The sequence below is a fragment of the Homo sapiens genome, chromosome 1 (genome assembly GCF_000001405.40).
Source record: "Homo sapiens chromosome 1, GRCh38.p14 Primary Assembly".
NCBI lineage: Eukaryota > Metazoa > Chordata > Mammalia > Primates > Hominidae > Homo > Homo sapiens.
This window is the reverse complement of record NC_000001.11, coordinates 34,569,425-34,583,102: the sequence shown is the minus strand read 5'-3', so window position 1 is coordinate 34,583,102 and position 13,678 is coordinate 34,569,425. Positions and strand designations below refer to the sequence as shown.

Below are 13,678 nucleotides of genomic sequence, written 5' to 3'. Positions count from 1 at the left end.
TCATGCTGCAGGAATCTGTGGTACAGATTATTTCGTCATGCAGGTACTAAGCTCTAGTAACCAACAGTTTAAAAAGTTTTTTTTTTGTTTTTTTTTTTTGTTTTTTTTTTAGATGGAATCTCACTCTGTCACCAGGCTGGAGTGCAGTGGTATGATCTTGGCTCACTGCCACCTCTGCCTCCTGGGTTCAAGTGATTCTTCTGTCTCAGCCTCCCAAGTAGCTGGGATTAGAGGTGCGCACCACCATGCCCAGCTAATTTTTGCATTTTAGTAGAGATCTGGTTTCATCATGTTGGCCAGGCTGGTCTTGAACTCCTGAGCTCAGGTGACTGTGTGATCTTTTAAAAACAAAGAGTGAATCATGTCATTCATCTGCTCAATTCCTCCAGTGACTCCTCATCTCAGTTGCAACAAAATACAAAGCGCTTGTCATCATCCACAAGCCTGGCATGGCCTCTTCATTTCTGTCACCTCTTTGCCTAAATCCCTCCCTTCCCTCAGTTGACCTTAGAGCACCCTCCTCTGTTTACTGAGCACATTAAACACACTCCTGTTTGCACTGGTCATTCTTTCTGCCTGGAACGCTCTACCCCCAGAGGTCTGCACAGTCATTTGCTCACACCTTCCATCTCTGCTCAAATACTAACTTATCAGAGAAGCTCCCTTGATCTCCACTCTATAAGATGATTCTTTGCCCTCCCTAGCAATTCTTAAAAATCTGCCTGATGGTGGTGGTTGTTGTTTGTAGTCTCATTGTTGCTCATTTTTGTGATTCTGTCCTGTACTTCTTTAAGCATTTCATATAAAGTTGTTTTCTATTCTGTGTTTCACAATTCTAGTATCTGAAGTCTTGGGGTGAGGGGCAGATTAAATCTATTGTTTGTTGATTCTGTACTTATTCATGGTGCTTTGTTTCCTTGTGTGTTTGGTGATCACTGGATGCGAGTTTATATATGGTTGATCTTAATGTATGGAAAATCTGGGTCAATAAATTGAGGATGCTTTCTTCCAGAGAAGATTTATATTTATCTCTGCCAGGCACCATAGGGCATGGTCAACTGGAAATCTTTTTAGCCCTCTTTAGAATTCCTGGCTAAATGTGAGAGTCAGGCTTGGGTCTCATACTGTGCTGTGCTGGCTCAAGGCTTGTTTCTAGGTTGCATCTCTCCCTGAAGCCTCACAGCTCACTATTACTCATGGTTCATGGCCTCTTTCTTCCAGCCCCTTGGAGATTTACCCCATCTCTCCGGAGCCTAATAATGTGGTTAAAATTGTGTTATGTACAGTGCACAGTTTTGCCTGAGTAGAAGAGCTTCTCAAAATATCTTGGCCATAGTTCCAGAAGTCAAAGCATCTTTGCACTATCTTGAGTTCCTTATCTAGTTTTAATTTTTAAAATAGCACTTAATCACAATCTGACACATTACTTTATTTATTTATTTTATGTCTTACCCACCAAAATGCAAGCCACAGGAGAGCAGGGATTTCAGCTGATTTGTTCATTGCTATATCCCTGGCACCTAGAACAACACAATTGTGTGTAGGTGTTCAATAAATAGTGTTGAATGAAAGAACACAGACTCCTTTACATTGGTTCAAGCAAAGGTAGTTATTTTAAGACTGCACATGGAGAGATGGGAACTCCCAAGACAATCTGAGAACAGGAAGAGTAGCTGGGCTGGGCTTCACAGGATGGGAAGCAGTGGCTGCTTTCGATTTAAGGTGGTTCTGGGTTCTTCCAGCAGCAGAACCCCCCTTCTGCTCTGCTTCTAAGGTATATCAGCTACTCCCACCCCATATCTATTTCTTCTCTTTCCTTATAATTTTCTATTGCATTTGACCTTGATTTGCCATTGTCCTAACTTAAGATACCCTTTTAAATTCTTCCTTAGCTACTAACTGGAAAATTCTTTTTTCCTTGGGTCATATTCTTAAGAAAAAAGATTAAAAGATGATCTAGCCTTTTTTTTTTCTTTTTAAAGCCAGGCCACACCGTCTTCGGCTAGGGCCATGGATTTTAAGAATGCCCATAGAGAGAAGAGAACCCTCAAGTCAATCCATGAACAGGAGAAGGAGTGGGCGGAGCTCCAAAAGGCTGGGAAGCAGTGGCTGCTTCTGGACATAACCAGATTATAGTTCTGGGTTTTGGTCAGGTGTCCACCCTCAGAACCAATGAAATATGGTAGATAAAAGGGATGGTCAGATAAGAAAATATGGAAGCTGGGCAGCAGGAGTCTGAGTGAAGTAATTTCTTTTAAAAAGGGGTATGGGTGGGGCATATAAGGAGACTGCTAATTCATAACAATCTCTGAGAGTGAAACTATGGAAAATTAACATTTGATGGAATAAATCAGCATCTTGAGAAGGTAGAGACCCACCTTGAGTGATGACAAGACACCCAAGTTCAATTAAGGAAATGAGGCAGTAGTCTCAGGAAGGTGAGATTACACTAAATAAAGCTGTAGCCTGATCAATGACACTGAACCATGTTCCAAGTGGTCAATCAGAGAGCGAGAAATGTCAGTGTCTCTTCTTGCTCTTGCCCAGGGGAGAGAGGCCAGTGCTCAAGGTAGCATGGTGTTCAGTTGATCCAGCTAGTCTAGTAAAGAGTGTGAATTAAACAGTTACCCACACACACAAGCTAAATAGTGCTTAGGGCTATGAAGGAAGAGAACAGGGGCCTATGAGAGTTTGGATTTGATCTAGGCTGGGGGTGTGGGAAGTGGTTCAGAAAAGGCTGCTTGGAAGAAATGAACTTTGATCTGACATTTAAAGGTGGTTTGGAAGTTTAATAGGCAAAAGTTGGGGATGGGAAAAGTGTTACCGCAGGACAAAATAGCCCTGAGGTTATTTGCTGTTCTTCAGACCCGTCTTCAGCACTTTCCTGCCTAGGTCTTTGCATTGACTGTTTTCTTTGCCTAGAAAGCCCTTCCTCTGGATAATTCGATGGCTCACTCTGTGCTCAAAGATCCCTTTCCGGCACTCTAGCGAGCACAGCACCCCTCAACATTCCGTATCCCCTTTCCCTGATTGATGCTTCTTGGCATCACTTGTTCACCCCCTGATTTTGTGTTGCAAAGTGCTTTGTTTATGATGTATTCCCTCACTACAAGATAGGCTTCATGAGGGCAACAATTTTGTCTCTTTTGTTCATTTCTATATATCCATACCAGTGTCCAGTATATGGTCTGCCTCAATAAACATATATTAAAAGATTAAAACAAGGTACTTCTAGGAACGGGAGAAAGGCCAGCGTGGCTGGACTTTAATGAGAAAGAAGGAGGATAGTAAGAAAGGAGGCGAGACAGATAGGTGGGGTCCTCATTGCAGGATAGTGTGGACTTTGTTCTAGAGTTTAGGGCCCATTCTATGAGCAATGGAAAGCCACTGAAGGTTTTAAAAATGGGAGTATTGAAATTAAATTTCTATTTTAAGACTTTTTTTGGCTTTGGTGGAGAGACTGTATCGTTAGGGGTAGGGAAATGTGGAGGGGTGGAGACCAGTTAGGAGGCTATTGCAGTTTTCCAGCCTGGGGATAATGGTGCCTTGGACTAGGGTGATGATGGTGGAGGTGAGAAGAATAAGGTGAACGCAAATAATGTTTATAAGGCAGAATCAGTAGGATGTGGAGTTAGATTTGGAGGAGTCAGAGGTGTTTGAAACAGAAAGACTCCATCTTGAATAGGGGCTGGATAAAATAAGACTGAGACCTACTGGGCTGCATTCCCAGGAGATTAGGCTTTCTAAGTCACAGGATGAGATAGGAGGTTGGCATGAGGTATGGGTGTTAAAGACCTTGCTGATTAAACAGGATACAGTAAAGAAGCTGGCCAAAACCCCCCAAAACCAAGATGGTGAAGAGAGTGACCTCTGCTCATTCTCACTGCTCATTATATGCTAATTATAATACATTAGCATGCTAAAAGACACTCCTACCAACACCATGACAGTTTACAAATGCCATGGCAACATCAGGAAGTTACCCTATATAGTCTAAAATGGGAAGGAACCCTCAGTTCTGGGAATTACCCACCTCTTTCCCCAAAAACTCATGAATAATTCACCTCTTGTTTAGCATATAATCAAGAAGTAATAATAAATACAAGCAGCTGAGCAGCTAAAGCCACTGCTCTGTCTCTGGAGTAGCATTCTTTATTCCTTTACTTTCTTAATAAACTTGCTCTCACTTTATGAGCTTGACTCAAATTCTTTCTTGTGGGAGATTCAAGAGCCCTCTCTTAGGGTCTGGATCGGGACCCCTTTCTGGTAACAGAGGTACATATAGAGAAAGAGGTGTCAAGGATTAGTCCTAGGTTTCTGACTTATGGAACTAATGGAGGGCGGTCCGTTTGCTCAAATGGAACTTTGGAGGAGTATGTGTAAGGGAAGGAGAGGGTCAGAGAGATTGGTAAAAATCAGATTACACCAGGCGCTGAGATACTGGAGTTTAAGATTTGGAAGGTGGGGCAGGTCTAGGGGATAGCCATGTCTGGGGAAAACCTTGGGATTTGGTGGATTAATTCACTGGAAAAATATTTATTGAACATCTGTTATGTTTCAGGCACTATTTGGACTATGGTCCTAGCCTACGAGGGCAAACAAAGCCTTTGCCCTCAGCTAGGAGAGTCAGATTGAACTATTGTCCACATTAAAAAAATCTGTAATTCCAGATGGTATGAAGAAAAACAAAGCAGAGTAAAGGGACAAAGGGTGGAGTCGGGGTGGAGTGTATCTAGGCAGGGTGGTCAGAAAGGCCTTCCTGAAGGTAACAGTCAGATGAAGACTCATGAGATGAGAAGGAGCCATTTGCAGGCAGGTCTATGGGAAGAGCATTCCTGGTAGAGGAAACAGTGAGTGCAAAAGCCCTGAGGTGGGAAAAGCTTGATGTGCTTAAGGAATAGCAAGAAAGCCGGTATAGCAGAAACGAAGTGGCAGGAGCACTTGCAGAAGAAAGGGTAGAAGTAGGCAGCGAGCAGGAATAGGAAAAGGTGCTCTCCATCACTAATCACAAGGGAAATGCAAATTAAGACCACAGTGAGATATCACTCCATATCTGAGAGAATGGCTATTATCTTTTTTTTTTTTTTTTTTTTTTTTTTGCTTTGAGATGGAGTTTTGCTCTTGTCGCCCAGGCTGGAGTGCAATGGCACAATCTCAGCTCGCCACAACCTCTGCCTCCCAGGTTCAAGTGATTCTCCTGCCTCAGCCTCCCAAGTAGCTGGGATTACAGGCATGTGCCACCATGCCCGGCTAATTTTGTATTTTTAGTACAGATGGGGTTTCACCATGTTGGCCAGGCCTCAAACTCCTGAGCTCAGGTGATCCACTTGCCTCAGCCTCCCAAAGTCCTGGGATTACAGGTGTGAGCCACCGCGCCTAGCATTATCAATAAAATTAAAGATAGTGAGTGTTGGCAAGGATGTAGAGAAAAGGGAACCCTTGAGCATTGTTGGTGGGAATGTAAGTTAGAAAAGCCATTATGGAAAACAGTATGGAGGTTCCTCAAAATATTCAAAATGAACTACCATATGATCCAGCAATCCCATTACTGGGTATAGATACAGCCAAAGAAAAGGAAACCAGTGTGTGGAACAGATATGTGCACTTCCATGTTTGTTAACAGCACTGTTCACAGTAGCCAAGACAAGCACTCAACCTAAGCATCCGTCAGTGGGTACACGGATAAAGAAAATGTGGGATACATACACAATGGGATGCTATTCAGCCTTGAAAAAGAAGGAAATTCTGTCATTTGAGACAACATGGATGAACCTGGAGGTCATTATATTAAGTGAAATAAGCCAGTCACAGAAAGACAAATACCACATGATCTCATTCATATGTGGAATCTAAAAAGGTGGAAAGTAGAACGCTGGTTACCAAAGGCTGAGGGCGAGGGGTGTGGGGCTGGGGAGGTGTTGGTCAAAGGATACAACATTTCAGTTAGGAGAAAGACATTCAAGGGATCTATTGTACAACATGGTGACTATAGTTAATAACAATATATGCTTGAAAATCATCAAGAGAGTAGATTTTTAGTGTTCTCACCACAAAAACGATAAAAATGTGAGGTAAGGCATGTGTTAATTAGCTCAATTTAGCCATTTCACAATGCACACATATTTCAAAAGGTAATTGTTGTACACAGTAAATAGGTATGATTTTTGTCAATTAAAAATATAAATAAATAAATTTTTCAAAAAGAAGAAGTGGGCAGGGCAGATCAGGTCAGCCCTTTTCTGTCCATGTTTAGGACGCAGAAATTACTCTAATTGCAATGAGAAAGCATCGGTGGGTTTTAGGTGGGGAGTGCTTTCGTCTGACAAATGTTTTTAAAGGTCACCCTCACTATCATGTGGAGAATGGATTGGAAGAGGCAAGAATGGAGAAAGGCAAACCAATGAGGATGTTCCTACCGGGATCTGGGGGAGAAGGGATGGTGAACGGGTTGCGGGGGTCAGGTGGGCTGGAGCTGACCAGCTGGCTTGGGGATGCCTTTGAGGGTAGTGCTGCCAGGACTTGCTGCTGGGGGAGGTGCAGGGGTGAATGGGAGTGGCAGTCACTGGATGCCCTGCATGCACTGCAGACCCTCACTGCATCTGAGGATATCAAGGTGCTGGAAAGGCATAGGGTTTGTTGAGCCCACATGGATGGCTAAGTTGGCTGGCTGAAGCAGAGCAGAGCGAAAGACCCTGAGCCAGGGCCAGAGCCTCCAGGGAGGCAGAGGTATGACTTTGAGGTCAGGTGTGGCAGCAGTGGGTAGGGAGCTTGTGGCTGAACTCCTAGGAAGGCCTTCCCATGTGAGATGGTGACTGAGCTGAGGAGGGCACAGGACTCTTCCAGCGCTGCCCATTCCTCCTACCTGGTAATCCATGGGGTTTTAGAGAGTGAAGCCAGGAGGAGAGCCAGTCTCAGCCACCCCGGAAGTGGAGGGAGAACATAGGAAAGGGAGAGATGCAGAGCCTGTTGCTGAGGAAGGGGAATGGGGTGTGTGGGGTGGGGGTCCATTTGGTTCAATGGAAAAGTTGGCAGGGACAATGGTACATTTGACATCTGCAATGGATCAACTTTTTTTTTTAATTTGTAAAAAGCAGGTAATTATTGTATTAGTCCATTAGTGCTGCTATAATAAAATATCTGATATGGGTAATTTGTAAAGAACAGGAATTTATTTCTCACAATTCTGGAGGCTGGAAGTCCAAGATCAAGATGTTGGCAGTTTGGTGTCTGGAGGGCCCAGTATCTGCTTCCGAGTTGGTGCCTTGTTGCTGCACCCTCTGGAGGGAAGGAAGGCTGTGTCCTCATGTGGCGAAAGAGTGGAAGGGCCAAAGGGCCTAGCTAGTTATCTCCAGGTCTTTTATTTATTTTATTTATTTTTAAAATTTTTTAAAATTTCCATAGGTTATCGGGGAACAGGTGGTGTTTGGTTACATGAGTGAGTTCTTTAGTGGTGATCTGTGAGATTTTGGTGCGCCCATCACCTGAGCAGTATACACTGCACTCAATTTATAGTCTTTTATCCCTCACCCCCTTCCTACCCATTCCCCCTGAGTCCCCAAAGTCCATTGTCTCGTTTTGATGTCTTTGCACGGAGTGGATCAACTTTTAAACAGTCTCCCTCTTCTATTTAACACAATTATTTTCAGTACTAATCATGAAATGAAACCAATAATAATAATGACCAGAAAAGAAACTCAGTAAAATGTTTTTTTATTGAACTTCCTACATAAACCATGCCAGTAATATAAATAAAAATAAATAAAATATTATAATACAAAATTTAGAAAGTAAGGGATTAATAGTTTGTAATTACAGCAACGTATGTTTTGAAAAGGGGAGAAACATATACTTACTTATTTGTCTGTCACAATAACAAACGATAACATTACAATTTCTGTTTCCTTGATTCCTTCTTTCATTTTATAACAAGCAACAATTAAAAACAGAATTAATTTTAATGTTAAAGATATGATTCACGTCCAGTGAACTAGTTCTTGTGTGAGCTAAAACTGGCACTTCCAAACAAAAGATGGTTCACCTTGCAGTTTGCATTCTGCGTTACTGTTTTAAAAATTTATACACAAGTAAAAATTCCATGTGGCCCCATACAGTGACAGAATTGAAGGAACTCAAGTTCTGTTTCTTTGCTTTACCATCACTGTGCTCTCACTGTTTATTTAGAAGCTTCTCTTTAAACACAGGAATATGTAGTGTCTCGGGAGTTGGAGACATAAACCACTCCTGTAGAGAGCTTGAACGATTCTGAATGTTGGAACACTCTGGAAATGAACACGTAGCTGAGTCCCCATGTGTGGGGGCAAACTGTACAACCAAAAGGGCTCAGTATTAACCTCCTGGGAGAATTCAATGTTCATTAAGGGATAAGGAATCAAAAAGGGCTAATTCAAAAATATATTATATACACATATATTAAATATGTATTAAAACTCAACAGTAATCTAATCACAGCACTTGTAAGCATTTTACCAACAAAAGAATATTTTTGGGGAAGAGTATTTTAATCACTGACAATGTTTAGAATTGCCAGTACCTGGTGATCATAAAAAGAGCCTGGTGGTTACCGAGCTGGAGTGGTTAGAGGGAGGGAGGATGGGGAAATGTCGGTAAAAGGATACATAATTACGGTTAGATAGGAGGAATAAATTTCAAGACATCTATTGTACAGTGGGGTGACTATAGTTAATAATGATGTGTTGTATTCTTGAAAAATGTAGGCCTGGCGTGGTGGCTCACGCCTGTAATCCCAGCACTTTGGGAGGCCGAGGCGGGCGGATCACGAGGTCAGGAGATCGAGACCATCCTGGCTAACACAGTGAAACCCCTCTCTACTAAAAATACAAAAAAATTAGCCGGGCGTGGTGGCGGGCGCCGGTAGTCCCAGCTACTCGGGAGGATGTATATATTCTTTAAAACATCATGGTGTACATGATAAAAACATTCAATGTTATCTATGAGTTAAAAATCCAAGAGACTCCATTTTATTACTGTGTTAAGATTCTCTGCAGAGAATACATCCCCTATTGCCTGCCTCCCAGGGTGCACCCCCTTCCCCTGGCACCCACTGGTTGGGGAGCAAGTCCAGGGCAGGCATGGTGGGGATGAGGTTTGGGAGAGGGTAGCTGATGGGATCTTCCTAGATGGGCTGTGGGATGACAAATGTTTGGGTTGGGAGGTCTTCTCCAAGAGGCCCTGCTGGGAGACTGGCGGGGGAGGACCTCAGTCCTATGTCTTTTGTAGCTTCAGCAAGCAGATGACAGGGTGCAATGGCAGAGAGACACAGCACTCTGTTTTTGTTTTGAGACAGGGTCTTGCTCTGTCGCCCAGGCTGGAGTGCAGTGGAGTGATCTTGGCTCACTACATACTTGAGCTCTTTGGCTCAATTGATCCTCCCACCTCAGCCTCCTGAGTAACTGGGACTACAGGGGCGCAGCACTGTTCATGGCTATTTTTTTCTTTTTCTTTTTTTTTTTTTTGTAGAGATGGGGTTTTGACATGTTGCCTAAGCTGGTCTTGAACTCCTGGGCTCAAGCAATCTGCCCACATCAGCCTCCCAAAGTGCTGGGATTCCAGATGTGAGCCACCATGCCTGGCCGACAGCCCTTTTTGGGCCCAGAATTCCTGTCTGTGTCTCTCTGTTCTCTGCCTCCTTCTCATTACTTCGCTCAACACTTTTTCCTGTCCTTCTCTCTTCCTCTCTCTGCCTGTCACTCCCTCTCTGTCTCTTCGTATCACCCCCTGCCTCTGTATCTGTCTATTTTTCTGCCTCTCTCTCTCTCTCTGTCTTGGGCTCTCTTCCTATTCCAGCTCTGTTTCTGTCCCCACCTTGCTGTCTCTCCTCTCTCTCCCTCTGATTCTCATGTCACTTGTCCATTGCTCCTGTCTCTTTCTATGTCTTGCCCCTCTGTACACAATCCAGTCTCTTAGTTTCTCTATTGGAGAACTATGAAGAGTGAGGGGAACAGAGCTAAGATGATTCTCAGTGCTTGCCCACCTTCTGTTGGGACACCATTCTCTTCTTAGTCCCTCCCTTGGGGTGTCTCTAAAAGCCAGAGGTTTGCTGCACCCTGAGGGTCAAGCCCCAGGAAATGACAGCTGTTTCTCCAGCCCAGAGCTGGCTGTGCCCCGGCCCAGCTGACCAGGTCCCACTTTGGGAGTGGGGGTTGGGTTGGAAGTTTGCAGATGCCTCGGCCACTGGTGGGCAGGCAGTGGAGGCATCTGGGTGGACACGGGCAGAAGAAAGCCATAGTGCAATTTCAGAGTTGGGGGCTTAGTTGGAGTTTGAGAGACACCATTAGCAGCCATGTCTTTGAGGGATCCAGGCTCCCCTCTTCTGTTGGGGTGAGGAGGGACAAGTGCCCACTTTTCAGGGGTTAGACTCCTTCTGCTCACTGATTTCCTCATCCAGTCTCTTCCTTCCCTAACCAATATGGGAGCCCTGGGGAATGAGGAAGCTGACTTGGCCTCCTGCTTATCCTCTCCTTCCCTTCTTCCTCCTGGCCCACAAGTCGTGTCCAGAGAATATAAGAATGGTCCCTTGCTTCTCTTTCCCCAGACCGCACCCTACCCTCTCACTCCCCTGCCTGCTCTGTCCTCTATCCCGCGAGGCCCTGCCTTGGCTTCCTAGTAAGCCGCCCCTTGGCTTTTATGTGAGATCTGTTTTACTCAGACAGAGCAATACTCAGACCCCAGGGGAGAGGGCAGTGGAAAGTATTCATGAGGTATCCTGGTCCCCAGGCACCTGGGAAAGTTGCACCCTTTATATAGGTGAGGAGGCTGAGGTGTAGGAAGATGCCCCAGTCAGTCCAGTTGCCTCTTTCTCACTTCCTCCACTGGATCCTCAATGTTCCTCAAACACCCAGAATGCCTCTGCCTCAGGGCCTTTGCATGTGCTGTTGCCTAAATATCTGAATCTCTTGCTCTCTCACCCTTTCAAGTCTTTGCTCAAGTATCCTTCAATATAGTTGAGTAAAGACTCAGGGGGAGGAGCCAAGATGGCCGAATAGGAACAGCTCCGGTCTACAGCTCCCAGCGTGAGCGACGCAGAAGACGGGTGATTTCTGCATTTCCATCTGAGGTACCGGGTTCATCTCACTAGGGAGTGCCAGACAGTGGGCGCAGGCCAGTGTGTGCACGCACCGTGCGCAAGCCGAAGCAGGGCGAGGCATTGCCTCACCTGGGAAGCGCAAGGGGTCAGGGAGTTCCCTTTCCGAGTCAAAGAAAGGGGTGACGGACGCACCTGGAAAATCGGGTCACTCCCACCCGAATATTGCGCTTTTCAGACCGGCTTAAGAAACGGCGCACCACGAGACTATATCCCACACCTGGCTCAGAGGGTCCTACGCCCACGGAATCTCGCTGATTGCTAGCACAGCAGTCTGAGATCAAACTGCAAGGCGGCAACGAGGCTGGGGGAGGGGCGCCCGCCATTGCCCAGGCTTGCTTAGGTAAACAAAGCAGCTGGGAAGCTCGAACTGGGTGGAGCCCACCACAGCTCAAGGAGGCCTGCCTGCCTCTGTAGGCTCCACCTCTGGGGGCAGGGCACAGACAAACAAAAAGACAGCAGTAACCTCTGCAGACTTAAGTGTCCCTGTCTGACAGCTTTGAAGAGAGCAGTGGTTCTCCCAGCACGCAACTGGAGATCTGAGAACGGGCAGACTGCCTCCTCAAGTGGGTCCCTGACCCCTGACCCCCGAGCAGCCTAACTGGGAGGCACCCCCCAGCAGGGGCACACTGACACCTCACACGGCAGGGTATTCCAACAGACCTGCAGCTGAGGGTCCTGTCTGTTAGAAGGAAAACTAACAACCAGAAAGGACATCTACACCGAAAACCCATCTGTACATCACCATCATCAAAGACCAAAAGTAGATGAAACCACAAAGATGGGGAAAAAACAGAACAGAAAAACTGGAAACTCTAAAATGCAGAGCGCCTCTCCTCCTCCAAAGGAACGCAGTTCCTCACCAGCAACAGAACAAAGCTGGATGGAGAATGATTTTGACGAGCTGAGAGAAGAAGGCTTCAGACGATCAAATTACTCTGAGCTATGGGAGGACATTCAAACCAAAGGCAAAGAAGTTGAAAACTTTGAAAAAAATTTAGAAGAATGTATAACTAGAATAACCAATACAGAGAAGTGCTTAAAGGAGCTGATGGAGCTGAAAACCAAGGCTCGAGAACTACGTGAAGAATGCAGAAGCCTCAGGAGCCGATGCGATCAACTGGAAGAAAGGGTATCAGCAATGGAAGATGAAATGAATGAAATGAAGCGAGAAGGGAAGTTTAGAGAAAAAAGAATAAAAAGAAATGAGCAAAGCCTCCAAGAAATATGGGACTATGTGAAAAGACCAAATCTACGTCTGATTGGTGTACCTGAAAGTGATGTGGAGAATGGAACCAAGTTGGAAAACACTCTGCAGGATATTATCCAGGAGAACTTCCCCAATCTAGCAAGGCAGGCCAACGTTCAGATTCAGGAAATACAGAGAACGCCACAAAGATACTCCTCGAGAAGAGCAACTCCAAGACACATAATTGTCAGATTCACCAAAGTTGAAATGAAGGAAAAAATGTTAAGGGCAGCCAGAGAGAAAGGTCGGGTTACCCTCAAAGGAAAGCCCATGAGACTAACAGCGGATCTCTCGGCAGAAACCCTACAAGCCAGAAGAGAGTGGGGGCCAATATTCAACATTCTTAAAGAAAAGAATTTTCAACCCAGAATTTCATATCCAGCCAAACTAAGCTTCATAAGTGAAGGAGAAATAAAATACTTTATAGACAAGCAAATGCTGAGAGATTTTGTCACCACCAGGCCTGCCCTAAAAGAGCTCCTGAAGGAAGCGCTAAACATGGAAAGGAACAACCGGTACCAGCCGCTGCAAAATCATGCCAAAATGTAAAGACCATCGAGACTAGGAAGAAACTGCATCAACTAATGAGCAAAATCACCAGCTAACATCATAATGACAGGATCAAATTCACACATAACAATATTAACTTTAAATATAAATGGACTAAATTCTGCAATTAAAAGACACAGACTGGCAAGTTGGATAAAGAGTCAAGACCCATCAGTGTGCTGTATTCAGGAAACCCATCTCACGTGCAGAGACACACATAGGCTCAAAATAAAAGCATGGAGGAAGATCTACCAAGCCAATGGAAAACAAAAAAAGGCAGGGGTTGCAATCCTAGTCTCCGATAAAACAGACTTTAAACCAACAAAGATCAAAAGAGACAAAGAAGGCCATTACATAATGGTAAAGGGATCAATTCAACAAGAGGAGCTAACTATCCTAAATATTTATGCACCCAATACAGGAGCACCCAGATTCATAAAGCAAGTCCTGAGTGACCTACAAAGAGACTTAGACTCCCACACATTAATAATGGGAGACTTTAACACCCCACTGTCAACATTAGACAGATCAACGAGACAGAAAGTCAACAAGGATACCCAGGAATTGAACTCAGCTCTGCACCAAGCAGACCTAATAGACATCTACAGAACTCTCCACCGCAAATCAACAGAATATACATTTTTTTCAGCACCACACCACACCTATTCCAAAATTGACCACATAGTTGGAAGTAAAGCTCTCCTCAGCAAATGTAAAAGAACAGAAATTATAACAAACTATCTCTCAGACCACAGTGC

General features: G+C 44.7%; 1 long non-coding RNA gene across 3 annotated transcripts in view, besides 1 other annotated feature; it reads left to right on the top strand.

The window, feature by feature from the left end:
• The window catches only part of LOC105378641 (uncharacterized), a 227,461-nt gene that overhangs the window by 102,217 nt on the left and 111,566 nt on the right, over nt 1-13,678 (top strand). The window lies entirely within an intron of this gene.
• Nucleotides 10,632-11,281: an enhancer, noted in NCBI's record as "OCT4-NANOG-H3K27ac-H3K4me1 hESC enhancer chr1:35037423-35038072 (GRCh37/hg19 assembly coordinates)". NCBI's record gives its function as "activates a minimal SCP1, AML or CMV promoter by ChIP-STARR-seq in primed H9 embryonic stem cells {active_cell/tissue: H9 hESC(primed)}" and the evidence as "EXISTENCE:reporter gene assay evidence [ECO:0000049][PMID:30033119]".